This window comes from Homo sapiens, chromosome 16, assembly GCF_000001405.40.
Source record: "Homo sapiens chromosome 16, GRCh38.p14 Primary Assembly".
Classification (NCBI taxonomy): domain Eukaryota; kingdom Metazoa; phylum Chordata; class Mammalia; order Primates; family Hominidae; genus Homo; species Homo sapiens.
The window spans coordinates 28,605,021-28,632,110 of record NC_000016.10 but is presented as its reverse complement, the minus strand read 5'-3'; the positions used below and the strand labels follow the sequence as shown (position 1 = coordinate 28,632,110).

Below are 27,090 nucleotides of genomic sequence, written 5' to 3'. Positions count from 1 at the left end.
TAAACTATCACAGCATAAAGTAGAGGGATATTTCATTACTATCTAGTTAAACTGGTTAATGCAGAAAGGAAGTCTGGAAATTCCAGTTTTAAAGTAAAATTTTGGACATTGTAGGATTGATTATTTGGCATAGTTGTGATGTTTGTTCCTGCATTATGGTTTTGTTGGCAGAGCAGCCTCTAAGGACCTGTATATTTTCTTCTAGACTCTATATATTCCCTGTGAGTATTAGTTGCATGGTCAAACTGGCAAATTTTACCATAGGTATAAATAATAGAGAATGTGGAAGAATAGTGAATAGTGTCAGAGATAGTTAAAAGTCCATACAGAAGTAGAGAGGGTAATAAGTAACAGTGGCTTGGACTAAATATTTGTTGAATAAATTTTTTAAAAAACAGGCTACCTACAATTTGTGTTGAAGATATGAATGAATGAAGTTTCCACACCCTTATGTGGAGTCCTGATAAGTAAGCAACAATAAGGAAGGGTCCCCAGGTTGGGGAGAGCCCCAAGTTGAGAACAATAATGAACAATTACTGTATGAACAATTGTTAGAGACAGCTAATCACAAACAACCTGCGGGCACAATGACCTCATTCCACACGTAGCACCCTTCAGCAGGACCCTATAAAACTTTCCTCCAGCCCCTGCCTCTTTGCAGGTAGCCCCTTCTCTGCTGAGCTGCCCACTGCAACATATTTTCATAATTTCTCTAATAAATCTGCCCTTCTTTACCTACAACTATCTTGGTAAATGGCTTTACCACCTGCAAAACTGACCCTAGGTTGTTGCTACCCGATATGGTTTGGCTGCGTCCCCACCCAAATTTCATCTTGAATTGTAGTTCCCATAATCCCCATGTGTCGTGGGAGGGACCTGGTAGGAGGTAATCAAATCATGGGGGCAGGTTTTTCCCATACTGTTCTTGTGATAGTGAATACATCTCACTAAATCTGATGGTTTTATAAAGGGCAGTTTCCCTGCACGTGCTCTCTTTCCTGCAGCCATGTAAGACGTACCTTTGCTCCTTCTTTGCCTTCCACCATGATTCTGAGGCCTCCCCAGCCTTGTGGAACTGTGAGTACATTAAACCTCTTTTCCTTTATAAATTACCCAGTCTCGAGTATTTCTTCATAGCAGTATGAAAAGTAACTAATACACTACCTGAGACACCTTAGGAGATTTGTAATAGCTGTAATGCCAGGTCCACCATATTTTTAGCATAAAGCAAATGTTTACCCATGATATGACTGCACAGGCTTTCAGCTGGAGCCATAGCAACTCAAGTAGTAACCCTATCTTAGTCTGATTAAAAGTAAATATTAGTCTGGGCATGGTGGGACATGCCTGTAATCCCAGTACTTGGGGAGGCTGAGACAGAAGGATTGCTTGAGCCCAGGAGTTTGAGACCAGCCTGGGCAACATGGAAAAACCCCGTCTCTACAAAAAATACAAAAATTAGCTGAGCGTGGTGGCACACACCTGTAGTCCCAGCACCTTGGGAGGGTGAGGCAGGAGTATCTCTTGAACCCAGGAGGTGGAGGCTGCAGTGAGCAGTGATCATGTCAGAGGCATGTGAACCAGAGCAACTCCATCTTAAATAGGAGCTGGGAAAAATGAGGCTGAAACTACTGGGCTGCATTCCCTAATGGTTAAGGCATTCTAAGTCACAGGATGACATAGAAGGTCAGCACAAAATACCAGTCATAAAGACCTTGCTGATAAAACAGGTTGCAGTGAAGGAGCTGGCCAAAACCCACCAAAACCAAAATAGTGACAAGAGTGACCTCCCATCATCCTCCCTGCTACACTCCTACCAGCACCATGACAGTTTACAAATGCCATGGCAACATCAAGAAGTTATCCTATATGGTCTAAAAAGAGGAGGCATGAAAAATCCACCCCTTGTTTAGCATATCATCAAGAAATAACCATAAAAATGGGCAACCAGCAGCCCTCATGGCTGCTCTGTCTATGGAGTAGCCATTCTTTTATTCCTTTACTTTCTTTTTCTTTTTTTTTTTTTTTTTTTTTGAGATGGAGTCTCCCGCTGTCACCCAGGCTGGAGTGCACTGGCATGATCTCGGCTTACTGCAAGCTTCGCCTCCCGGGTTCACGCCATTCTCCTGCCTCAGCCTCCAGAGTAGCTGGGACTACAGGCGCCCACCACCACACTTGGCTAATTTTTTTGTATTTTTAGTAGAGACAGGGTTTCACCGTGTTAACCAGGATGGTCTTGATCTCCTGACCTCATGATCCACCTGTCTCGGCCTCCCAAAGTGCTGGGATTACAGGCGTGAGCCACCGTGCCCCTCCTCCTTTACTTTCTTAATAAACTTGCTTTCAATTCACATTGCGGGATCACCCTGAATTCTTTCTTGTGCAAGATCCAAGAACCCTCTCTTGGGGTCTGGATTGGGACCCCTTTCCTGTAACTATCATGCCACTGCACTCCAGCCTGGGCAACAGAGCAAGGCCCTGTCTCAAAAAGAAAAAAAAAAAAGTAATATGACTTAATGCATTCATTTTGGAGGGTAAGTCTCTCAAAATAGGCCTTTCACTGGGGGAAAATGGTAAAAATACTCCCTGGTAATTCAAGAATTGGAGACTCCTGAGATGCTGCTCATATTAGCTGAACACTTATCAATACTTCACTTTTTTCCATATATACTCAAGGAACAAGTGCCATTTAAAGTGTTTCACTCCGCTGTGCTAGGTGCAAGACTATAAAGAGTTGTGAGGATCAATACTTTTATGAAAACCAATGTCATTCTGAATATAGTTTCAGATGCTAGTGCAAAGGAAGCTCTTAGTATACGTAAAAAGTATTCAACAATAAATTGGGCATGGTTGCTTCCATTTTCTGCCTCACATACTTTTTTTTTCATGGTTAAAGTGATATAATGTCTATGATACTTTAGATTGGCAGTTGCAAACTAGTGGTCCTCAGCGTGCTTTTTATGACACCTACAAGGTTTGAAGACTTCGATTTCATATTAAAAATCTGGGTTTCAGGCTGGGTGTGGTGTTGCATGCCTGTAATCCCAGCACTTTGGGAGGTTAAGGTGGGTGGATCACCTGAGGTCAGGAGTTCGAGACCAGCCTGGCCAACATGATGAAACTCTGTCTCTACTAAAAATACAAAAATCAGCCAGGCATGGTGGCATGTGCCTGTAATCCCAGCTACTCAGGAAGCTGAGGCAGGAGAATCACTTGAACCAGGGAGGTGGAGGTTGCAGTGAGCCAAGATCACGCCACTGCACTCAAGCTTAGGCAATAGAGCAAGACTCCATCTCAAAAAATGAATAAATAAATAAATAAAATCTGGGTTTCAGGCCAGGTGTGGTGGTGCACTCCTGCAATCCCAGCACTTTGGGAGGCTGAGATGGGCAGACAGCTTGAGCTCAGGAATTCCAGACTAGCCTGGGCAATGTGGCGAAACCCCATGTCTACAAATAATACAAAAAAATTAGCTGGGTGTAGTGGAGTGTGCCTGTAATCCCAGCAACGTGGGAGGCTGAAGTGAGAGGATTGCTTGAGCCTGGGAGGTTGAGGTCACAGTGAGCTGAGATCGCCCTTCTACACTCCAACCTGGGCAACAGAGCCAGACCTTGTCTTAAAAAAAAAAAAAAAAAAAAAAATTCTAGGTTTCTGGCATCTCAAAAAAAAAAAAAAAAAAGGAAAAGTCAGGGCACATGGCTGCTACAGTCCTCTATTAAGCAATGTGCCACAGCAGGGGTCCCTGACCCCTGGGCCATGGACATGTACTGGTCTGTGGCCTGTTAGGAACTGGGCCACAGAACAGGAGGTGAATGGTGGGTAACAATTGAAGCTTCGTCTGTATTTCTGGCCGCTCCCCATTGCTTGCATTGCTGCCTGAGCTCTGCCTCCTGTCAGATCAGCAGCATCATTAGATTCTTACAGGAGCATGAACCCTGTTGTGAGTTGCACACACGAGGGATCCAGGTTGCATATTCCTTATGAGAATCTAATTCCTGATGATTTGTGGTGGAACAGTTTCATCCCAAGACCATTACCATCCTGCGCCCCATCCCTTGCCGCCTGTGGAAAAATTGTCTTCCACAAAGCCGGTCCCTGGCGCCAAAAATGTTGGGGACTGCTGTGCTTTAGAATCTGCCATGAATCTGCAGCCTCTATTATATAGCTCCCTATAGACTTTGCTTCCTACCGTCTTACGTTCTGCCTTATAGGCATTTGAGTTTGCAACCCTTGTTTTTGTTAGTATGCTACGCTGGTGACATTGACCAAATTGACCACACATTAATGATAAGCTTAGTTGGTGATGACCTCAATGGAATAATGTGACATAAGTATTGTGACAATACTTCTTGCATGTATCTGCAGGTGGAATTGTAAACCTGGTTGTCCGAGATGGTCTAATTCGATCTTCCTATGTATCTCCTTATATTAATAGTGGTAACATTTGTGGTGGTGATTCAGCGTTTCAATGCCTCTTCTCATGGCAACAACAAATGTTTTCCTTCTGAATCAACATTAACCTAGATGTTACTGCGGATCAAAATTAGACTGTACATTTTCAACCACAGAAATATTGGGCAGTAAAAATTTTTCTTAATATTGATTGCCTACATAGGTTGTGTAATTAGCATATGTTTATAGTTCTATGATTTGTGCGTGGCTGCTACAGAGCCAGAGGGGGTAAAGCAACAGTGTTTTCTCAGTTGTGCGAGCAGCATTACATTATAATAAATAGGTAATATTAAACTGGGCTGATGAGAGTTGCAAAAGACTACTTTAATGTTCATATGGAACCAAAAAAGAGCCCACATTGCCAAGACAATCCTAAGCCCAAAGAACAAAGCTGGAGGCATCATGCTACCTGACTTCAAACTATACTACAAGGCTACAGTAACCAAAACAGCATGGTACTGGTACCAAAACAGACATATAGACCAATGGAACAGAACAGAGCCCTCAGAAATAATACCACACATCTACAACTATCTGATCTTTGACAAACCTGACAAAAACAAGAAATGGGGAAAGGATTCCCTATTTAATAAATGGTGCTGGGAAAACTGGCTAGCCATATGTAGAAAGCTGAAACTGGATCCCTTCCTTACATCTTATACAAAAATTAATTCAAGATGGATTAAAGACTTAAATGTTAGACCTAAAACCATAAAAACCCTAGAAGAAAACCTAGGCAATACCATTCAGGACATAGGCATGGGCAAGGACTTCATGTCTAAAACACCAAAAGCAATGGCAACAGAAGCCAAAACTGACAAATGGGATCTAATTAAACTAAAGAGCTGCATAGCAAAAGAAACTACCATCAGAGTGAACAGGCAACGTACAGAATGGGAGAAAACTTTTATAATCTACCCATCTGACAAAGGGCTAATATCCAGAATCTACAAAGAACTTAAACAAATTTACAAGAAAAAAATCAAACAACCCCATCAAAAAGTGGGCGAAGGATATGAACAGACACTTCTCAAAAGAAGACATTTATGCAGCCAACAGACACATGAAAAAATGCTCATCATCACTGGCCATCAGAGAAATGCAAATCAAAACCACAATGAGATATCATTTCATGCCAGTTAGAATGGCGATCATTAAAAAGTCAGGAAACAACAGGTGCTGGAGAGGATGTGGAGAAATAGGAACACTTTTACACTGTTGGTGGGACTGTAAACTAGTTCAACCATTGTGGAAGACAGTGTGGCGACTCCTCAAGGATCTAGAACTAGAAATACCATTTGACCCAGCCATCCTATTGCTGGGTATATACCCAAAGGATTATAAATCATGCCGCTATAAAGACACATGTACACATATGTTTATTGCGGCACTATTCACAATAGCAAAGACTTGGAACCAACCCAAATGTCCATCAATGATAGACTGGATTAAGAAAACGTGGCAATTATACACCATGGAATACTATGCAGCCATAAAAATGGATGAGTTCATGTCCTTTGTAGGAACATGGATGAAGCTGGAAACCATCATTCTGAGCAAACTATCGCCAGGACAGAAAATCAAACACCGCATGTTCTCACTCATAGGTGGGAATTGAACAATGAGAACACTTGGACACAGGGTGGGGAACATCACACCCTGGGGCTTGTCATGGGGTGGGGGAAGCCGGGAGAGATAGCATTAGGAGATATACCTAATGTAAATGACGAGTTCATGGGTGCAGCACACCAACGTGGCACATGTATACATATGTAACAAACCTGCACATTGTGCACATGTACCCTAGAACTTAAAGTATAATAAAAATAAATAAATTGGGCTGATGAACCATATTACAGTAATCCAATATTTCGCTTGTAAAGTCCTGAGGTTTACAGAAGGAAATCTTTTCTAATAACAAGAAGAGTGAGGCATGTGCTTTGGTCTTTATTTCCTAGTTATACGATCCTGGGTAAGGAGCTCAACTTTTCTCTGCCAAAATTAAATGAGGATTAAATGAGATCATATATGTGAAGTTGTGAAAGACAGTGCCTGGCACATAGTAGGATCAATCAATGTTAATATCTCTAAAATAGAGATTGAGTCTGAAGATCCACAAAGTGGTAGAACTGATCTTAAGATTCCCAAATGATAGAATTGGGCTTTATTTGCCTAAGTAGTATGGTATTACTTATTGTATGCCCAGGGGATCTTTTTTTTTTAAATAATGTTTATTTATTTATTTTGAGACAGAGTCTCGCTCTGTCCCCCAAGCTGGAGTGCAGTGGCACCATTTTGGCTCACTGCAACCTCTACCTACCCGGTTCAAGCAATTCTCCTGCCTCAGCCTCCTGAGTAGCTGGGATTACAGGTGCGCACCACCATGCCCAGCTAATTTTTGTATATTTAGTAGAGACAGGGTTTTGCCATGCTGGCCAGACTCGTCTTAAACTCCTGACCTAAGGTGATCCAGCTCCCTCAGCCTGCCACAGTGCTGGGATTACAGGTGTAAGCCACGGCACCCAGCCCTAATGTTTTATTTTTTTGTAGAGATGAGGTCTTACTATGTGGCCCAGGCTGGTCTTGAATTCCTGGACCTAAGTGATCCTCCCACCTTGACCTCCCAAAGTGTTGGGATTACAGGCATGAGCCACCGTGCCCAGTTCCCTTCTTAAATAGTTTAAAGGGGGAGAAGAAAGAAAAAGACAGATTTTCTTCCCTTCCACTACCAAAACAGGCAAAACACACCAGAACACTTTGCTTAGCATTTCTTTTCTTTTCTTTTCTTTTTTTGAGAAAGAGTCTTCCTCTGTCAGCCAGGGTGGAGTGCAGTGGGGCGATCTTGGCTCACTTCAAGCTCCACCTCCTGGGTTCAGGCCATTCTCCTGCCTCAGCCTCCCGAGTAGCTGGGACTACAGGTGCCCACCACCACGCCCAGCTAATTTTTTGTATTTTTAGTAGAGACGGGATTTCACCGTGTTAGCCAGGATGGTCTGGATCTCCTGACCTCGTGATCCGCCCGCCTTGGCCTCCCAAAGTGCTGGTATTACAGGAGTGAGCCACCGTGCCCGGCCGTCCCTTCATTTTTTAAGATAAATTCACATACCATAAAACTTACCATTTTATTTTCTCTCTCTTTTTCTTTCTTTCTTTCTTTTTTTTTTTTTTTTTTTTTTTTTTTTTGCAGGCTGGAGTGCAGTGGCCCTATCGTGGCTCACTGCAACCTTGAATTCCTGGGCTCAAGAGATCCTCCCACCTCAGACTCCCAAGTAGCAGTAGCTGAGACTATCAGTGCGCACCACCAAGTCTGAGTAATTACAATACTTTTTTCTTTTTCTTTTTCTTTTTTTTTTCGTAGAGATGGGGTCTTCCTATTTTGTCCAGGCTAATCTGGAACTCCTGCCCTCAAAGGATCCTCCTGTCTAATTCTCTCAAAGTGCTGGGATTACAGGCATGTGCCACCGCACCCGGCCAAATGCACCTCCTTTTTTCAAGTGTACAATTCAATGGTTTTTAATATATTCACAAAGTCATGGAACCATCACACCTATCTAATTTCAAAATGTTTTCATCACTCCAAAAAATAACCCCATATGGGAGGCCGCGGCGGGCAGATCACTCGAGACCAGCCTGGCCAACATATTGAAACCCCGTCTCCACTAAAAATACAAAAATTAGTCGGGCGTGATGGCGCACGCGTGTAGTCCCAGCTGCTCGGGAGGCTGAGGCAGGAGAATCGCTTGAACCCGGGAGGCGGAGGTTGCAGTGAGCCCAGATCGCCCCACTGCACTCCAGCCTGGGCGACAGAGCGAGACTCCGTCTCAAAAATATCTAATTAATTAATAAAAATAAAATAAATAAATAAATAAATAACCCCATGCCTTCTGCCTCTGTGGCTTTGCCTATTCTGGGTATTTTGTGTCAACGGACCCATGCATGGGGGTGGGCCGGGCACCTTTCAAACGTTCAGCCCCCACGACGGCCCGTGGCCTCCGGATTGGACGGCACGAGCTGGGTGTGCGCGGGGCGCCCAACCGCTCAGGAGCTCCTGGAGGAGGCAGGTGCAGGTGCCGGCTGCTGCAGCGCAGTAGCTGCTGGAGGCTGGCGAGGCCCGGAGGCGGTGCAGGAAGCCTCCGACCACGCGGGCTCCTGATCGCGGGCGCCCACAGCGCGGACATGGCGGGCTGGTGGCCGGCGTTGTCGCGCACGGCCCGGCGCCACCCGTGGCCCACCAACGTGCTGCTCTACGTTGCTCGAGCAACGTAGCTCTACGCTCTACGAGCGTGCCGTAGCTCGCTCGTCTCCGCCGGGGACGTGCTGCAGCAACGGCTGCAGGGCCGCTAGGCCGACTGGCGCCAGACGCGGCGCGTGGCCACGTTGGTGGTGACCTTCCACGCCAACTTCAACTACGTGTGGCTGGGCCTGCTGGAGCGCGCGCTCCCGGGCCGAGCGCCGCGCGCCATGCTGGCCAAGTTGCTGTGCGACCAGGTGGTCGGTGCGCCCATCGCGGTCTCGGCCTTCTACGCCGGTGAGGGGCCGGGGGGGGAACCTGGGGGGTGGGACCAGTATTGGGGGACTGGAGGCAGGGACTTGGGGATCAAGCGGCTGGAGGGAGGGCGCTGCAGGAGCCTGGGGACCCGGGCAGGAGCCGGGGCTCTGAGACCGGAGCTGCTTCAGAGGCCTGAAGGGCCAGGGCAAAGGCTGGAGGCTGGGGTGTTTGATTGCGAGAAGTTGCAGGAGGCACTGGCTGGGGAGCCGAGAAATTGGGGAGCCAGAGGTACAGCAGGTCAGGAATTTAGAGGACTAGGGTCGGGGCTCAGACTCTGGGGTTGGGTGTAGGCCAAGGCTGGAGGTAGGCAGGGCTGCGGAGGTCTTTGCCCCCTGAAAAAGGCCCACGGGAAAATAAAGGAGATCCCAGTTCAAGGCCATAGCAGCTGCAATGACCGTGAACCAATCGTGGGACAGGGAAGGAACCGACCTGCTGTTCAGAAAATCCACGCCTGGGGCCCCGGGGCCAACACAGGAACAAAATGCAAGGGGACCCGTGACCCTGGGGGGCAGAGCAGGTGGAATCTGAGGTTGGGCCTGGATCTTCAGCAAATTCATGCCCAGGGGCCTAGTCCTGCTTTGGTAACAAGATTTTCCCCTGGGGTCTCACGGAAAACATCAAGGGACCTTGGATCCTTGCCATAGAGGACTATATACCTGTGAGGGTTCAGGGAACCCTCTCCTTAGAAAATCCGACCCGGGCCTGGGGTGTGGGGGACAGGGGCTTGACTGTGGAAACCTTCTCTACTGCGTACAATAAGAACAATGGAAATGTTACCTGAAAAATACCGGGGTTCATTCCCTTAACGAGTCACAAATGACTCCACCAAGAGGCGGGTTTTGATCAATGGGAGTTTTACTTGGCACAAGAAAGGAAGACACTGGGCATATTCTCCCAAGTAGTGTGTCCCCCAGAGAAAGAGACAGGAGGGTTTTATGGGGTGATGGAGAAAGGAGAGGGTGCATGATTGCATGTAGAGTAGGGGTCCCAGTGAGTCATGATGCTAGCGCATAGGTTGCATAGGTTATAGTCATGAAGCTATAGCTTCTCCCGGGGTGAAGACTTTAGCATGGTAATGAGGAGAGTTAACTTGGGTTCATCTGTAAGTAACCTGGGGTCATTTAGGAGCTGATTTAAACAAACAGGGTGACCTCATTCCACCCAGGGCTGGGGAAGAACAGGTTGAGGTCAGGAGGCTGTAAAACAGGCTGATCACTCAAGTTGGTTAAATTCTTGTAATCTTTGGAGATCCTCCATCTGCTCACAGGAGGGTCCCTGTGGCCTCTATCATCATTGCAATTTCTATAGCCTTGAAGGGGATGGGGTGGGTAACTGGGGAGAAAATCTCTATGGGTCTTAAGCCTGACGGGGTCAGTGGGTCAGGAGAACAGACAGCCGGGGAGCTAGGGCCTCCTGTTTTATCAGAAGGTCTGTGCCTGGTCCCGGCGTGTGATTTGCAGACTAGATTTGCAAACAGCTTCCTAGCAACTGTTAAAGAAGTCTTGTACAGCGGTGAAGGGGTAGGGGACCAGAATGCTATTTAATCCTCAAAAAACTAGTGAGATTGTTCTCTTTTTCTTTTCTTCTTCTTCTTCTTCTTCTTTTTTTTTTTTTTTTTTTTTTTTTTGAGACAGAGTCTTGTTTTATTGCCCAGCCTGGAGTGTGCAGTGGCCTGATCTCAGCTCATTGAAACCTCCATCTTCAGGTTCAAGCGATCCTCCTGCCTCAGCCTACCAAGTAGCTGGCATTACAGATGCACACCACCATGCCCGGCTAATTTTTGCATTTTTAATGGAGACAAAGTTTCACCATGTTTGCCAGGGTCGTCTCGAACTCCTGAACTCAAGTAATCTGCCCATCATGGCCTCCCAAAGTGCTGGGATCACAGACGTGAGCCCTCGCACCTGAGATTGTTCTTATTACTCTCATGTTACAAATGAGGAAACAACTAGTGAAATTAGTGAAATTGTTCTCTTTTTCTTTTCTTTTTTTTTTTGGGAGACAGAGTCTCGCTTTATCATCCTGGCTGGAATGTGCATTGGCCCGATCTCAGCTCACTGCAACCTCCACTTTCTGGGTTCAAGTGATCCTTCTGCCTCAGCTTCTCGAGAAGCTGGGATTACAGGCATGCGCCACCACACCCAGCTAATTTTGTATTTTTAGTAGAGACGGGGTTTCTCCGTGTTGGTCAGGCTGGTCTCGAACTCCTGACCTCAGGTGATCCGCTCGCCTCAACTTCCCAAAGTGCTGGGATTACAGGCATGAGCCACCGTGCCCAGCCCACTAGCTTTTTTTAAAAGATAGAAATTAAAATTTCAAAATGTCCAAATGTTCAACTTTTCACAAAATGTTTGGAAGGTAGAGAAAAGTAACCAATAGACCCACTATTGTAACTGGATTGTTTTTGTGAATTGTTATAGTTTTTGAAAAAATAATTGTTCTGCTATAACTTTTATATTCTGCTATTCTCACATCATATTTATCATTCCTTTAAAATTTTCTAGTTTTAGAGTGGAGACTATGTTCTTTTTTTTTTTTTTTTTTTTGAGACAGGGTCTTGCTATGTTGTCCAGACTGGAGTGCAGTGGCATGATCACAGCTCACTGTAGCCTCCACCTCCCAGGCTCAAGCAATCCTCCCACCTCAGCCTCCTGAGTAACTATGACTACAGACACACCACCACACCTGGCTAATTTTTGTATTTTTTATAGAGATGAGGTTTTGCCCTGTTGCCCAGGCTGGTCTCTTAACTCCTGGACTCAAGCAATCTGCCTGCCTCGGCCTCCCAAAGTGCTGGGATTACAGGCTTGAGCCACGGCACCTGTCTATGTTCTCTTTTCACTGTAGGATCAGAGGGTCATATTGATGGATGATAGTGATGGTTACTTTGCATTTTGGAATGGTAAACTTAAACATGAACTGTTATACAGTACTCTACTGAATCTTTTAAAATTCTTTTGGTGTTTTTGCAAATAGGTATGAGCATTCTCCAGGGAAAGGATGACATATTTTTGGACCTGAAACAGAAATTCTGGAACACCTATATGGTAAGACAGGCGTTTGAAAATGTTATCAGTATCTTTTTGTGTGTGTATATACACACACACACACACACAATATACAATACAATATATATACATATACAATCAGTAACTTTTTGTGTATATATGTGTATATGTATATATATGTACATAGATCCACAAAAATATATACTTTCTGTGTACATATTTATAAAGATTTAAAATGTTTTAATTGACACATATATGTATGTATTTTCAGAATACATGTGATGATTTGATACATTTGTATAATCATATCAGGATTCTTTGTGTGTGTGTGTGTGTCTATATATATATATGTATATATATATTTTTTAATAAAATTTTTTTTGAGACAGGGTCTCATTCTGTCACCCAGGCTGGAATGCAGTGGCATGGTCATGGCTCACTGCAGCCTGGACCTCCTGAGCTCAAGCGATCCTCCCACCTCATCCTTCTGAGTAGCTGAGACTACAGGCATGTGCCACCACACCCAGCTAATTATTTTTAAATTTTTTGATAGAGACAGAGTCTCACTATGTAGCACAGGCTGGCCTCAAACTCCTGTGCTCCAGTTATTCTCCCACCTCAACATTAAGTACATTTTTATTAAACTATTCCTAAATTAGAGCTCCAGTTTGGTTGGCAGAAGGGTCCAATATTTTGACAGAGAAATCTTAAAGTTATTTTGATAGATGTATGAGGAGAGGCTTTAAGAGTGTCTATACTTCTCATGAATTGGAAAGAAATACTTTCTCTGGGCCGGGCACGGTGGCTCACGCCTCTAATCCCAACACCTGGGAGGCTGAGGCAGGCAGATCACTTGATGTCAGGAGTTTGAAACCAGCCTGGCCAATATGGTGAAACCCTGTCTCTACTAAAAATACAAAAATTAGCTGGGCACGGTGGTGTATGTCTGTAATCCCAGCTACTCAGTAGGCTGAGGCAGGAGAATCACTTGAATCTGAAGACAGGTTGCAGTGAGCCAAGATCTCACCACTGCACTCCAGCCTGGGCAACAGAGCAAGACTCCATCTCAAAAAGAAAAAAAGAAATGAAATAATATCTCTGAATTTTAGTCCATGTTCTCAATGATTTCTGACTTTATTATATTAACTCTTATTAATGATCAGAATTTATTTTGTAAATTTTGCAGCCAAAGGGACAATTTATTTTGTAAATTTGGGATTCTATTTGCAAAATAAGGATGGTAGACTGTGAGTGGCTTAATGGAATCATTCCCACATTCAGAGCCAATGTTTTCAGGTGAGCATTCTGCGGAGTCCTGGTGAAAAGAACTTTAACATCACAAAGGTATTGATAGTGAAGGAGAAGGTTTCCAAGGGTTACTCCAAGGTTCAAAACAAATCAGCGGTTTTACTGTTTGCTCGGCACAAATATATATAGTCCAGTCCAGTGCAAAATTTAGGCCGGGCACGGTGGCTCACGCCTGTAATCCCAACACTTTGGGAGGTGGAGGCGGGTGGATCACAAGGTCGGGAGATCGAGACCATCCTGGCTAACATGGTGAAACCCTGTCTCCACTAAAAATAAAAAAATTAGCAGGGCATGGTGGTACGAGCCTGTAGTTCCAGCTACTTGGGAGGCTGAGGCAGGAGAATCACTTGAACCCGGAAGGCGGAGGTTGCACTAAGCCGATATCACGCCACTGCACTCCAGCCTGGGCGACAGAGCGAGACTCTGTCTCAAAAAAAAAAAAAAAAAAAAAAAAGAGCGGGAAGTAGCCGGCTCACACTTGTAATCCCAGCATTTTGGGAGGCTGAGGCAAGAGGATCGGTAGAGCTCAGCAGTTTCAGACCAGCCTGCGCAACACAGTGAGACCCCATCTCTACAAAAATAAAATAAATTAGCTGGGCATAGTGGCAAGCGTCTGTTGTCCCAGCTGCTCAGGAAGCTGAGATGGGAGGATTGCAAGCCTGGGAGGTCAAGGCTGCAATAAGCTGTGATTGCACCGCTGCACACCAGCCTGAGTGACAGAGTGAGGCCCTGGTTCAAAAAAAAAAAAAAAGAGCAGGAAGTAGAATTGGGAAAGAAAGAAGCTTCAGGCAGGGATTTGTAAATGAACAAAACCGCAGGAATATTTGCATACTGTTTTAAAAAACAGTGGTTACAATGAGTGAGTCTCATCTACCCTCAGGAAAAGAAAGAGGGTATACCAGCAGTCTAAAGCCCAGCCCATTTGGAGATTTTTTGGGAAGATTTCTTGTGATAAGAAATTGTCGGCCGGGCACGACAACTCACACCTGTAATCCCAGCACTTTGGCAGGCGGATCACTAGGTCAAGAGATTGAGACCATCCTGGCCAACTTGGTGAAACCCCGTCACTACTAAAAATACAAAAATTAGCCAGGCATGGTGGCGGGTGCCTGTAATCCCAGCTACTCAGGAGACTGAGGCAGGACAATTGCTGGAACCCGGGAGGCGGAGGTTGCAGTGAGCTGAGATCGTGCCACTGCACTCCAGCCTGGCAACAGAGGGAGACTCCGTCACAAAAAGAAAAAAAAAAAGAAAAGAAAAGAAACTGTCTTCCAGGTGCTGTCCTAGGTGTTAGTGGAAGATACCCAAAAAACCATATAAAACAGAGATTCTGTCCTAAAGGGACTTAGAGTCTAGTGGGATAGATAGATAAATAGACAAGTCATTAACTAGAGTTCGATGAGAAATGCTCTCAGAGCCCATGGGTACTCAGCACAGCGAGGAGGTGTGGGAGTGGGGATCAAGGAAGTCTTGCTGGGGCCAGGCACCAGTGGCTCATGCCTGTAATGCTAGCACTTTGGGAGGCCAAGGTGGGTAGATTGCTTGAGCTCAGGAATTTGAGACCAGCCTGGGCAATATGACGATGAAACCTCATCTCCACAAATACAAAAATGAGCTGGTCATGGTGGCTCACACCTGTAGTCCCAGCTACTCAGGAGGCTGAGGTGGGAGGATCTCCTGAGCCCAGGAGGTCAAGACTGCAGTAAGCTATGATTGTACCACTGCACTCCAGCCTGGGTAACACAGCGAGACCCTGTCTCAAAATAAAAAATAAAAAATAAAAAAAAAGATCTGGAGTTAGGCACATACTGGGGGACAGGTCATTCCAGGGGCAGAAGAGCTGAGTAGAGTTGACAATGTGTAAAGCACCACGGTATGCCCAGAGGGGAGAAACCACAGGCAGTTTGGTGTTCACAGAGTATTTGTTGAGCAACTTGGAATGAGTTTGGATCCTGGAGACTGTTGAACACCCGGAGCTGAGGATCTTGCACTTCACGGTTAGGTAATTGCAGCAGAGGAAACCAGAGTGGGGGGTTATTGTAGCCAAGTTCACATAAGAAATAATGAAGTACGTCGGGTGTGGTGGCTCATGCCTGTAATCCTAACACTTTGGGAGGGTGAGGCGAGAGGATCCCTTGAGGTTAGGAGTTCGAGACCAGCTTGGGCAACATAGCAAGACCCTGTCTGTATTTAAAAAAATAAAACTGGCCTGGCATGGTGGCTCACACCTGTAATCTCACCACTTTGAGAGGCCGAGGTGAGCAGATCACTTGAGGTCAGGAGTTCGAGACCAGCCAGACCAAAATGGTGAAACCCAGTCTCTACTAAAAATACAAAAAATTAGCCAGGCATGGTGGCGCACGCCTGTAATCCCAGCTACTCAAGAGGCTGAGTCAGGAGAATTGTGGGCGGCAAGCCACCCAGGCACCGAGGCAAGAGACAGAGGACACGATCTGTTCCAGTATAATAAAATATAAAACAAGAATAGTTATACCAGATATAGATCTTAGATATGATTATATATGAATATCATTAATCATTAGTTTGTAGCAATTACTTTTTCTTCCAATATTATAATAACCCTCGCTCAATAATCATAGCCTAGGAAAAACCAGGCCATACACAGATAGGAGCTGAAGGGACATAGTGAGGTGTGACCGGAAGACAGGAGTGCGAGCCTTCTGTTATGCCTGGACAGGGCCACCAGAGGGCTCCTTGGTCTAGCGGTGACACCAGCATCTGGGAAGATGCCCGTTACCAGGCGGATCGTGGTCCAGCGTCTCCCTGTGATGCTGTGCTTCAGTGGTCACACTCCTAGTCCACCTTCATGTTTCATCCTGTACACCTGACTCTGCCTTCTAGATAGCAGTGGTAAATTAGTGAAAATACTAATAGTCCCTGATATGCAGAAATAATGGCATAAGCTGTCTTTCTCTTTGTCTCCTCTCCCTCTCTGCCTCGGCTGCCAGGCAGGGAAGGGCCCCCTGTCCAGTGGACACGTGACCCACGTGACCTTACCTATCATTGGAGGTGACTCACATTCTTTACCCTGACCCTTCAGCCTTGTATCCAATAAATAACAGCGCAGCCCGACGTTCGGGGCCACTACCAGTCTCTGCATATTGGTGGTAGTGGTCACCCGGGCCCAACTGCCTGTGTTGCCCAGGCTTCCTGTGTTGGCCGTGCTGTCACCAAGGTCACAGCATCCTGAGAACATGGTTTTCTCCTTGACTAACAAGGCCTCGGGGTCTGTCTCGGGGTTGGCCTTCCACCGGGTCAGCGGGATGATCCGGCGCAAGCTCACGGTGTGTCTCCTGGTGGTAGAGGGGCTTGTGTCAACCTGTGGCCGGGTGGGGATGCTCCTTCCCAGCTGGTAGGCTGCCCCCAGGCTCCATGCCCTGCCCTGGCCTGGACACTCACGCTTTGCCTTCTTCATCAATGTCATCTACCTCATACCTGTGGACAAAAGGAGGAAAATGCAGGATGCAGCCAGGGGCACAGTCCCTGTAGGGGAGTGTGGAGGACAGGGGCAGGGCAAGGACCCGGTGCTCCCTGCACAGCCGGCCCCGCCCACAGCACGCTCTGTGGAGTTTTTCTCCTGCTGTGCAGATGAGAAGCAGAGTGGCAGCCCAGGCAGGTGCAGTGACCAGAGAGCAGCCCTGGGGCTGTTGGAGGAGCCCCTGGGAGCCTCCATCTCCCGAGTGAGCCCAGCAGGACTGTGACCCGTTCGGCCAGGTGTCCTACAGGGGCTGCTGGGCTCAGCTACAGATGGGCGAGACCGCAGCATAGTGGGCGCCCAGCGGGAAGAACCAGGGAGGGACAAAGTGAGTTTGCAGGTGGTGGAGAGGCTCTCTTCTTGATGTCGGTGCTGAACCAGAAGTGTGTTTAAGGAGAATTTCCTAAAATTCAAAGAGTTCCACGGGAGTCGCGGCTAGGCCGGGGCGCTTCTTCAGCATCTACCTGCTCTACGGCCTGAACCCCCGTCATCAGGGCCACGTTTATATGGGGTTCACTGTCAGCCCTGCTTGTCAGGTCCAGCAGCACAATGGGGGCCACACAAAAGGCAGGGCCCAGGCCTGGCGCGGTGGCTCAAGCCTGTAAACCCAACACATTGGGAGGCCAAAGCGGTTGGATCACTTGAGGTCAGGAGTTCGAGACCAGCCTGACCAACATGGTGAAACCCCGTCTGTAATAGAAATACAAAAATTAGTCGGGCATGGTGGCACGTGCCTGTAATTACAGCTACTCAAAAGGCTGAGGCGGGAGAATTGCTTGAAAGATGGGGCAGGGGGCAGCGGCAGAGGTTGCAGTGAGCCAAATCGGGCCATTGCACTCCTGGTGAGACCGGAAGGGTCTCTGTGCCAGGAGGAAGGCTTCCTGGAGGAGGCGGACCCCGCTGGGCACAAGCCTGATGAGAGGGAAGGGCATGCCTGTGACATGGGTGGGGAGTCCAGGGTGGGGACGGGACTGTCACAGAGGAGGAGCATGACGGGGAGACAGTGCCCTGGGAATCTTGGCGGTGGAACTCCGGGGAGGAGCTGGCTGGGGCGGAGGTGATGATCCAGGATGCGGGCCAGCGTAGGGGTCTTGGTGGGCATGCTGGGGTCGGATGGAGCGCAGGAGAGAGAAGAGGGGGGACAGGTGGGTACCTGGGCTGGAGGCGCGGCCTGAGGTGGGCAGGTGCAGGGGGCGTGACTTCATTTAGGGGCAGGGCCTGGGGCTAGGCTGAAGCCGGCAGTGAGGACCCCGCTCTCGGGTGGAATTGGAGGGGACCCGCGGTTGGGCGCGGCAGGGCTCACAGGGACACCCCCGTTCTCCTCCCCAGGGAGAAAGTGCTCGTCGTGCACGGCTTCCCGCCCGCCGTGGCAACCCTTCGGGTAAGGAAGGAGACCAGGCGGCGGCAGGCGGGCAAGGGCTTGGGGTCCGCCCCCCTGCCTGGAGCCGCCCTAACTCCTCCGTATCCTGCCGCTGTTGGAGTGGGCCTGGAACCCCCTCCATAGGCGCGCCTCCTACTCCCGCTGCACCCCGACCTCCGCCGGGACCTCTATGCGCCGCGCCGCACGGGCGATGGCCTTCGGGCCTCCCCGGCCCCAGGGCACCGCGCAGGTCCCTTTGCTGGCACCAAGCCCGAGCCTGAGCCGGACCCGGGGCCCAAGAGGCCTGTGCGCCCTGCGAGCCCTTGAGCTCCAGGGGAGGTCCGCCCCAGGCAGGGCGGCTCATCCCCCAGACCACTTCGGATCCAGCTGTTTGTTGAGGAGCCAGGAAACGCCCTGACACTTTTGCGGCCCTGTCCCCGTCTCTAAGATGGGGATGATAGTATTTCTGGCCATTCCTGAGCACAGCAGGACCTGCCTTTTCCCTTTGACTGGAAGGTTCTTCTCTACACCTATCTTGATAACCTGCCACCTCCACAGGGAGGTCTTCTCTATCTCCCGATTTAAAATTGCAGCTCTGAGAAGCCGGGCATGGTGGCATATGCCTGTAGTCCCAGCTACGGGGGGAGGCTGAGGTGGGAGGATCGCTTGGTCCCAGGAGTTGGAGGCTGCAGTGAGCTCTGATCGCTCCACTGCACTATAGCCTGGGCAAAAGAGCAAGAAACTGTCTCTAAAAATATAAAATAAAATTGCACCTCTTGTGTACTTCCCCGTCTGCTTCTTTACCTGAATACTTACTATCTCACCGGCTAGGTGCTTTATGACTCTCGTTAGTCTCTCCCACCCCAACCTTTGCACTACATTGCCCGAGGGCAGCTCTTGTCACTGCTGTAGAACAAAGTCCTGCACAGAGACGATAGCCAAGAAATAGTTAATAAAATAATGGAAAACGGGTGCCTTCTACTGAGCACCCGCTAATAGTGAGTGAGTAGAGGACTTGCCCTGGGGACATTCAGTGACCTGCTGGGTGTTGCTGAGCTGTGAGGAAGTTCAGGTCTGGCTGCAGTGGTGAGGCTGTGACTCAATCAATCACTGCTGATGCTCCCAGGACCTGCACCAGCTTAGTCCCAGGGGCAAGGATTTTAAACCCCCACCTCCATTTCCTCATCTGTAAGATGCAAATAACAGTCACCTCTGCCTCACGGGATGGAGCTGTGTAATGCCCGGAACAGTGCCTGCTGCATAGAGGGGTTGCTGCCAGCTGCCTCTCCCTCCTTGTCTCTTACCTGCCTGCTGCCTGGGACAGGATGAAGCGGGGCCCTTGTGTTGCCCCAACCCTGGCTGTTGGCTAAGAGCCCACGTGATCTGCCTGTGAGAGGAGTTCCTTCCGGAAGAACCAGGGCAGCTTCTGCCCCTAGAGGGCCAATGCCCTAGCTGAGTGCAGTCCCCCGGCCCCAGCCTGGTCCAGCTTTGGGAAGAGGGTGCCCAGTTGTGCAATCCAGGCCGGGGCAGCCGTGTCCTGATCTTGGTATTCAGGGCTGAGCCTGGAGGGGGCTTGTGATGCCTGACTCTGTCTCTCTCTCTGGCCCCATGCCTTGGTAGCTGTGAGGCGTCACTGCTTTGGGTGACCTGATCTGGCTGTGATGGATGAGCACGGGGGAAATAGTGGAAGACTCGGAATTAGAAGACGTGAGTGGGCTTTGGCCCCAGCCTCCCTACCCCACTCCCTGTCCTGGGCTGCCTGTGACCAACCTTGTTTCTGCAGGCACACTGGATAGCCCTGCTGGAGCTCAGTGTCCCTAATCCCCTCCAGATACTGGTGGCCTAGGGGAGGTCATCAAAGACCGGTGGGACATCGACCTCAGCCCGTTTCCACGCTTTTTTTTGTTTTGTTTTGTTTTTTTGAGACCGAGTTTCACTCTTGTTGCCCAGGCTGGAGTGCAATGGCGTGATCTTGGCTCACCGCAACCTCCGCCTCCCGGGTTCAAGCGATTCTCCTGCCTCAGCCTCCCAAGTAGCTGGGATTACAGGCGTGTGCCACCAGGCTTGACTAATTTTCTATTTTTAGTAGAGACAAGGTTTCTCCATGTTGGTCAGGCTGGTCTCAAACTCCCGACTTCAGGTGGTCTGCCTGCCTCGGCCTCCCAAAGTGCTGGGATTACAGGAGTGAGCCACCGTGCCAGGCCTTCTCCAGGCTCTTGGCACCTTAGCCAGAAACAATTTAAGGACAAGTGCAAAAGTCATGAATGTAGGCAGATTTCCTGCAGAGTAAAGGGACTCACTGAAGAAGAGGAACGTGGGGGTCCTCAAGAGAGTGTCTCATGCCCTACAAGGTGTGGGGCTGACCTTTATGGGCTTCTTCAACTAAAGAGGGGTATATTCATGAAGAGTCCAGGAAAAGGTAAAGATTTCTCAAGACCGTGGTGCCACAATTTACACCCAAATACAGGTGTTCCTGGAGCCGTCTTGGCACTGGTGGGTGTACGGTTTCATATGTTACTGATCATACAATGAGATCCTAGGTGAAACCTACATCAAATACAGCGCCATGTTGTGTCTGGTTGGTCGTAGCCAGCTTGGTCCTCATCCTATTTTTCAGGGACTTATTGGCCCTTAGCGCATGCAGCTATTTCAAGTTTCCTTCTTCTCCTCATGTGAAACTGCTGCCTGGGATTTTGTATTCACTTGCTACCACTCTATTAATCTCACATTCTCGCCTCTTTTCTGTGTCACCCCGTGTGGGTCCGACAGGTTGTTACTAGAGTGCAATACAAAGTCTTAGTCAAGGGAACCTCCTGAGGGTTGCTGAGGGCAGGGGTGGAGCTAGTAGCCTGAGGACCTGCCAGTCACGGGGATTCCTCATGGGCACAGAGGAGGGAGGAGGGGTCCATGGCCCTAGCATATGAGAAGCCTCTCCTCTGCCTGGAATTCCCATGCCTCAGCTTCCCCCACACTCCCACCTGTCCGCTTGCCTCTGAACTCACGCATTTCTTGGAAGTCTTGGGAGATTCACCTTTACTCAGATGGTTGTTTACCTGTCTCGTGCACAGCTTGACCTTGGACTTTAAAGTGAGGATAAAGAACGAGGAGGATGGGGGGATGCCCCCCTTCCACGGGGCCCTGTGGCTTCCAAACCTCGGCCTCCTCTGGTCTCTTGTCTGTGGAGCCTCCTTCAAACCCAGGGAAATAAAACCACCTGCCACGGGTTGTGGTTCTTCTAGGATCTTCTATCAATGTTCTCTGAGGTCCCCAGGAGCCATGAAGCTGGGGCTGACTCCCAGGGCAATGGGACTGCAGTGTCCTTGTTCTTTCTTGTTCTATGCATCCATGCTCTGCTCCACCCCTGCCCCTTCACTCTGCCCACACACATCCCTCTAGACTGGCCTTGTGGTCAGAGCCTGGAGTGCATGGGCTGCTGGGGGCCTGTGGGCTGCACTGGGCCAGAACCCCTGGCACCTTCAAGACTGGCCTGGAGCCAGCAGGTAGGTGACCTTTCCAGGGCCTGCCTATCCCAGCTTTCTCCTCCAATCCCTCCCCTCTCTTGCCTGGGTCAATTAGAGAGAGCTTGTCTGTTGGCTGCCTGGCAGGGTGGAGTTCAGGGGCAGGTCAGGAGCCCAGTGACAGCTCGGAAAAAAAAAAAAAAAAAAAAAAAAAACAGAAAAAAAAAACCTACAAAAACAAACCCACCATTGGGCCTTTCCCCTTTCATTCTTCTGTTTTCTACACAGCAAACTCAGTCGTGGCTTTGGAGATCACTTTAAGCTTGTCTCCAGCTGGCACACTAAGGAGGGTAATGGAGAAGCTCCCCCACCCCCAACCCCACCCCTTCCTTCCGGAAGCAAATCTAAGTCCAGCCCCGGCTCCAGATCCCTCCCACAGTGGACCTAGGAAACCCTCAGCTCAGAGAACAACCCTGCATTCCCCACACAACACCCACAATCAGCCACTGCGGGCGAGGAGGGCACGAGGCCAGGTTCCCAAGAGCTCAGGTGAGTGACACAGTGGAACGGCCCAGGGCGCCCTCACCCTGCTCAGCTTGTGGCTCTAACATTCCAGAAGCTGAGGCCTCTGGCATCCCTGCCCTTTCCCCATGGATATCCCATTTCAGACAACCCTGGCCTGCGTGAATCCCCCTCCCTTCCCTTGTTTGTTTGTTTTTTTCCCCGGGGAGGCCAGGTCTTGCTGTCACCCAGGCTGGAGTGCTGTGGGATCCTGGCCACTGCAGCCTTGAATTCCTGGGCTCAAGTGATTCTCTTGCCTCAGCCTCTGGAGTAGCTAGGACTACAGGCCCTCATCATCCTGCCTGGTTAATGTTTAAGAATTTTTTTAAAGATTTTTAGAGATGGGGTCTTGCAATGCTGCACCAGGTTGGTCTCCAACTCCTGGCCTCAGCCTCCCTAGGGTCTGGGATTATAGGTGGGAGCCACCCTGCCTAGGCCTGTGCTTTTGCTGAGTCATCAGAGTTTTGTTCATTCCCACAGCAGCTCTGGCCCCTAGTAGCAGCTCAGTTCCTCAATGGGCCGTGTTTGTCCTGGAGCCCAGATGGACTGTGGCCAGGCAAGTGGATCACAGGCCTGGCTGGCCTGGGCGGTTTCCACATGTGAGGGGCTGAGGGGCTCAAGGAGGGGAGCATCTCCACTGGGTGGAGGCTGGGGGTCCCAGCAGGAAGTGGTGAGACAAAGGGCGCTGGCTGGCAGGGAGACAGCACAGGAAGGTCCTAGAGCTTCCTCAGTGCAGCTGGACTCTCCTGGAGACCTTCACACACCCTGACATCTGGGCCTTGCCCGACGAGGGTGCTTTCACTGGTCTGCACCATGGCCCAGGCCCTGGGATTTTGAACAGCTCCGCAGGTGAATGAAAGGTGAGGCCAGGCTGGGGAACCACCGCATTAGAGCCCGACCTGGTTTTCAGCCCCAGCCCCGCCACTGAGTGGCTTTGTGAGTGCGGGCAAGTCACTCAGCCTCCCTAGGCCTCAGTGACTTCCCTGAAAGCAAGAATTCCACTTTCTTGCTGTTGTGATGGTGGTAAGGGAACGGGCCTGGCTCTGGCCCCTGACGCAGGAACATGGAGCTGATCCAGGACACCTCCCGCCCGCCACTGGAGTACGTGAAGGGGGTCCCGCTCATCAAGTACTTTGCAGAGGCACTGGGGCCCCTGCAGAGCTTCCAGGCCCGGCCTGATGACCTGCTCATCAGCACCTACCCCAAGTCCGGTAAGTGAGGAGGGCCACCCACCCTCTCCCAGGTGGCAGTCCCCACCTTGGCCAGCGAGGTCGTGCCCTCAGCCTGCTCACCTCCCATCTCCCTCCCTCTCCAGGCACTACCTGGGTAAGCCAGATTCTGGACATGATCTACCAGGGTGGTGACCTGGAGAAGTGTCACCGAGCTCCCATCTTCATGCGGGTGCCCTTCCTTGAGTTCAAAGCCCCAGGGATTCCCTCAGGTGTGTGAGTGTGTCCTGGGTGCAAGGGGAGTGGAGGAAGACAGGGCTGGGGCTTCAGCTCACCAGACCTTCCCTGACCCACTGCTCAGGGATGGAGACTCTGAAAGACACACCGGCCCCACGACTCCTGAAGACACACCTGCCCCTGGCTCTGCTCCCCCAGACTCTGTTGGATCAGAAGGTCAAGGTGAGGCAGGGCACAGTGTTTCACATCCATAATCCCAGCACTTTGGGAGGCTGAGGCAGGCAGATCACCTGAGGTTGGGAGTTTGAGAGCACCCTGAGCAACATAGAAGAACCTTGTCTCTACTAAAAATACAAAATTAGCCGGGTGTGGTGGCGGGTGCCTGTAATCCCAGCTACTCCGAAGCCTGAGACAGGAGAATCACTTGAACCCGGGAGAAGGAGGTTGTGGTGAGCCAGAGATCCCACCATTGCATTCCAGCCTGAGCAACAAGAGCAAAACTCACAAAAATAAATAAATAAATAAATATATAAATAAAAATAAAACTGTGGCACCTGTGGTGGCTCACTGCTGTAATGCCAGCACTTTGGGAGGCCAAATTGGGTGGATCACTTGAGCTCAGGAGTTACAGACCAGCCCGGGAAACATGGGGAGTCTCCATCTCTATAAAAATGCAAAATATCAGCAGGGCATGGTGGCATAGCGCTGTAGTTCCAGCTACTGGAAAGTCTGAGGTTGGAGGATTGCTTGAGCCTGGAAGGTCAAGGTTGCAGTGAGTTATTATCACTCCAGTGCACTCCAACTTGGGCGACAGAAAAAAAGAAAGACCACGGTCCTTTTTTTTTTTTTTTTTTTTTTGAGACTCTCTGTCTCAAAAATAAATAAATAAAATAAAATAAAATAAAATAAATCCCACAATAAAAAGAAAAAGCAAAGGTCCAGGTGTGGGGCATGTGAATCCAGGGAAGGAGGCCCTGGCTCAGCCCAGCTTTGGTCCTGTTCTTCTGGGAAAGTCGCCTCACTTCCTCCAGCCTTGTCTCATCTTCTGCGGCGGGGACTGTCTGCCTCTTGCTCTGATGACCAAGAACGTAAGACTCTTCAGTGTAGACCTAAGAAAGCTAGAGGGTGGGTCCTCACAGGCCCACAAAATTTGGTGGCGGTGGGATCACGGCTGGTGGAGCATGCCTTGCTCCAGATTGGGGTGTGACGCATTGATGCAGATTATATTACTATAGAATATGATGGTCTCAGGGACCAGGCAGGACTTTGGCTTCTGAGCAGGGTTCAGCTCCTGACTTGGCCCTACCGGTGCCGTGAGATCTCAAACAAGTCAGCCTCTAAGCCTCAGGTTCCTCCTTTGCCAATCCAAGAGATGAGCTGGCCTGGGACAGGCTGTGTGGTGATGGTGCTGGGGTTGAGTCTTCTGCCCCTGCAGGTGGTCTATGTTGCCCGCAACGCAAAGGATGTGGCAGTTTCCTACTACCACTTCTACCACATGGCCAAGGTGCACCCTGAGCCTGGGACCTGGGACAGCTTCCTGGAGAAGTTCATGGTCGGAGAAGGTGGGTTTGATGGGAGGAAGGAAAGTGTGGAGCTAAGGGGTGGTGGCTACAACGCACAGCAACCCTGTGTTGGCACCCCTTGCCTGCTTCTCCAGTGTCCTACGGATCCTGGTACCAGCACGTGCAGGAGTGGTGGGAGCTGAGCCGCACCCACCCTGTTCTCTACCTCTTCTATGAAGACATGAAGGAGGTGAGACCACGTGCGATGCTTCCCTCCATGTGACTCCTGGGGGCAGGCACCTCACAGGGACCCGCCAAGGCCACCCAGCCCCCTCCCTGGGCAGCCCCCACAGCAGGACCAGATTCCCCATCCTGCCTTCTTGGCCCAGGCCTCCCCACTAAGGCCCCACCTGGCAGCGGGCCCCACACAGCTCTCATCTCTCGCACCTGAGTCAGCTGCATGGGGGGCCACGGATCAGAAACTTAGTCCTATTGCTACTCCCTGCCAAAGGGTGTGCTACCCAGGGCCACAGTCACAGAAGAAGACCATCACGGTCCTCACCCATAGGAGCCAAGCCCAGCTCATGATGGGATCACAGGGCAGACAGCAATTCTTTTTACCCCCGGGACTGGGGCCCTGGGGGTTGAGGAGTTGGCTCTGCAGGGTTTCTAGGAGAAGTGGCCAGATCGCCTCTGAGGTTAGAGAAGGGGACCCCTTTTACTTTTCCTGAATCAGTAATCCGAGCCTCCACTGAGGGGCCCTCTGCTGCTCAGAACCCGAAAAGGGAGATTCAAAAGATCCTGGAGTTTGTGGGGCGCTCCCTGCCAGAGGAGACCGTGGACTTCGTGGTTCAGCACACGTCGTTCAAGGAGATGAAGAAGAACCCTATGACCAACTACACCACCGTCCCCCAGGAGTTCATGGACCACAGCATCTCCCCCTTCATGAGGAAAGGTGGGTGCTGGCCAGCACGGGGGTTTGGGGCGGGTGGGAGCAGCAGCTGCAGCCTCCCCATAGGCACTTGGGGCCTCCCCTGGGATGAGACTCCAGCTTTGCTCCCTGCCTTCCTCCCCCAGGCATGGCTGGGGACTGGAAGACCACCTTCACCGTGGCGCAGAATGAGCGCTTCGATGCGGACTATGCGGAGAAGATGGCAGGCTGCAGCCTCAGCTTCCGCTCTGAGCTGTGAGAGGGGCTCCTGGAGTCACTGCAGAGGGAGTGTGCGAATCAAACCTGACCAAGCGGCTCAAGAATAAAATATGAATTGAGGGCCCGGGACGGTAGGTCATGTCTGTAATCCCAGCAATTTGGAGGCTGAGGTGGGAGGATCATTTGAGCCCAGGAGTTCGAGACCAACCTGGGCAACATAGTGAGATTCTGTTAAAAAAATAAAATAAAATAAAACCAATTTTTAAAAAGAGAATAAAATATGATTGTGGGCCAGGCAGAGTGGCTCATGCCTGTAATCCCAGCAATTTGAGAAGTTGAGGCTAGAGGATCACTGGAGGACAGGAGTTTGGGACCAGCCTGTTCAACATTACAAGACATCATCCCTACAAAAATTTGAGAAAATTATCTGTACGTGATGGTGGGCACCTGTAGTCCCAGCTACTTGACAAGTGAAGGCAGGAGGATCGCCTGAGCCAGGGAGGTTATGGCTGCAGTGGGCTGACTGGGCTAATCCACTCAAGCCTGAGGGACAGAGCAAATCTTGCTTGAGAAATAAATAAAATACAATTTACTTAACATAAATTATGATTCAGGACCAGTCTGGCCAACATGGTGAAACCCCGTCTCTACTAAAAAAAAAAAAAGATACAAAAATTAGCCGGGCATGGTGGCAGACACCTGTAACCTCAGCTACTCTGGAGGCTGAGGCAGGAGAATCGCTCGAACCCAGGGACGGATGTTGCAGTGAGCCAAGATCATGCCACTTCACTCCAGCCTGGGCATAAGAGCAAAACTCTGTCTTGAAAATAAATAAATAAT

The 27,090-nt window shown here is 49.6% G+C and overlaps 1 protein-coding gene and 2 long non-coding RNA genes across 25 annotated transcripts, besides 7 other annotated features; 2 read left to right on the top strand and 1 right to left on the bottom strand.

Moving 5' to 3' along the window:
* Window positions 8,439-8,608: a silencer, noted in NCBI's record as "silent region_7312". NCBI's record gives its function as "represses an Ori minimal core promoter by ATAC-STARR-seq in GM12878 lymphoblastoid cells {active_cell/tissue: GM12878}" and the evidence as "EXISTENCE:reporter gene assay evidence [ECO:0000049][PMID:35858748]".
* Window positions 8,659-8,708: a silencer, noted in NCBI's record as "silent region_7311". NCBI's record gives its function as "represses an Ori minimal core promoter by ATAC-STARR-seq in GM12878 lymphoblastoid cells {active_cell/tissue: GM12878}" and the evidence as "EXISTENCE:reporter gene assay evidence [ECO:0000049][PMID:35858748]".
* On the top strand, window positions 8,736-26,853 carry SULT1A1 (sulfotransferase family 1A member 1). Of its 21 annotated transcripts, NM_001394423.1 has the most exons (12): window positions 8,736-8,980; window positions 11,978-12,048; window positions 21,920-22,180; window positions 22,368-22,497; window positions 22,676-22,748; window positions 23,252-23,403; window positions 23,508-23,633; window positions 23,723-23,820; window positions 25,034-25,160; window positions 25,256-25,350; window positions 25,875-26,055; window positions 26,178-26,853. In NM_001394423.1, the coding sequence occupies exons 6-12, from the start codon at window positions 23,256-23,258 to the stop codon at window positions 26,288-26,290; spliced, it is 888 nt and encodes a 295-aa protein (NP_001381352.1). In that variant the 5' UTR covers window positions 8,736-8,980; window positions 11,978-12,048; window positions 21,920-22,180; window positions 22,368-22,497; window positions 22,676-22,748; window positions 23,252-23,255; the 3' UTR covers window positions 26,291-26,853. The 21 variants fall into 21 exon arrangements, with proteins under 21 accessions (NP_001381352.1, NP_001381350.1, NP_001381354.1 ...); NM_001394421.1 differs by lacking the exon at window positions 22,368-22,497; NM_001394425.1 differs by lacking the exons at window positions 22,368-22,497; window positions 22,676-22,748.
* Window positions 8,799-8,928: an enhancer, noted in NCBI's record as "active region_10643". NCBI's record gives its function as "activates an Ori minimal core promoter by ATAC-STARR-seq in GM12878 lymphoblastoid cells {active_cell/tissue: GM12878}" and the evidence as "EXISTENCE:reporter gene assay evidence [ECO:0000049][PMID:35858748]".
* LOC107984835 (uncharacterized) lies at window positions 13,125-21,925 on the bottom strand. 3 transcript variants are annotated; one of them, XR_007065035.1, is made up of 2 exons: window positions 19,384-21,925; window positions 13,125-16,773 (listed from the first exon to the last, which is right to left on the bottom strand). It is a non-coding gene; the product is annotated as an uncharacterized LOC107984835 (long non-coding RNA). The 3 variants fall into 3 exon arrangements; XR_007065036.1 differs by having other exon boundaries at window positions 19,478-21,925; XR_007065034.1 differs by lacking the exon at window positions 19,384-21,925 and adding an exon at window positions 17,967-18,152.
* Window positions 16,271-16,845: an enhancer, noted in NCBI's record as "H3K4me1 hESC enhancer chr16:28626587-28627161 (GRCh37/hg19 assembly coordinates)". NCBI's record gives its function as "activates a minimal SCP1, AML or CMV promoter by ChIP-STARR-seq in primed H9 embryonic stem cells {active_cell/tissue: H9 hESC(primed)}" and the evidence as "EXISTENCE:reporter gene assay evidence [ECO:0000049][PMID:30033119]".
* Window positions 17,580-21,411, top strand: LOC124903674 (uncharacterized). The gene is made up of 2 exons (XR_007065047.1): window positions 17,580-17,907; window positions 18,143-21,411. It is a non-coding gene; the product is annotated as an uncharacterized LOC124903674 (long non-coding RNA).
* Window positions 17,834-18,383: an enhancer, noted in NCBI's record as "H3K27ac-H3K4me1 hESC enhancer chr16:28625049-28625598 (GRCh37/hg19 assembly coordinates)". NCBI's record gives its function as "activates a minimal SCP1, AML or CMV promoter by ChIP-STARR-seq in naive H9 embryonic stem cells {active_cell/tissue: H9 hESC(naive)}" and the evidence as "EXISTENCE:reporter gene assay evidence [ECO:0000049][PMID:30033119]".
* Window positions 18,384-18,934: an enhancer, noted in NCBI's record as "H3K27ac-H3K4me1 hESC enhancer chr16:28624498-28625048 (GRCh37/hg19 assembly coordinates)". NCBI's record gives its function as "activates a minimal SCP1, AML or CMV promoter by ChIP-STARR-seq in naive H9 embryonic stem cells {active_cell/tissue: H9 hESC(naive)}" and the evidence as "EXISTENCE:reporter gene assay evidence [ECO:0000049][PMID:30033119]".
* Window positions 19,182-19,682: an enhancer, noted in NCBI's record as "H3K4me1 hESC enhancer chr16:28623750-28624250 (GRCh37/hg19 assembly coordinates)". NCBI's record gives its function as "activates a minimal SCP1, AML or CMV promoter by ChIP-STARR-seq in naive H9 embryonic stem cells {active_cell/tissue: H9 hESC(naive)}" and the evidence as "EXISTENCE:reporter gene assay evidence [ECO:0000049][PMID:30033119]".

What these genes read in the sequence shown, in the direction of transcription:
- SULT1A1 (XM_047434547.1), top strand. Translation starts at nt 23,256, where the DNA reads ATGGAGCTGATCCAGGACACCTCCCGCCCGCCACTGGAGTACGTGAAG. An exon ending in TGTTGGATCAGAAGGTCAAG is followed by an intron (nt 23,821 to 25,033) that starts GTGAGGCAGGGC and finishes CTGCCCCTGCAG; the next exon opens with GTGGTCTATGTTGCCCGCAA. An exon ending in GAAGTTCATGGTCGGAGAAG is followed by an intron (nt 25,161 to 25,255) that starts GTGGGTTTGATG and finishes CTGCTTCTCCAG; the next exon opens with TGTCCTACGGATCCTGGTAC.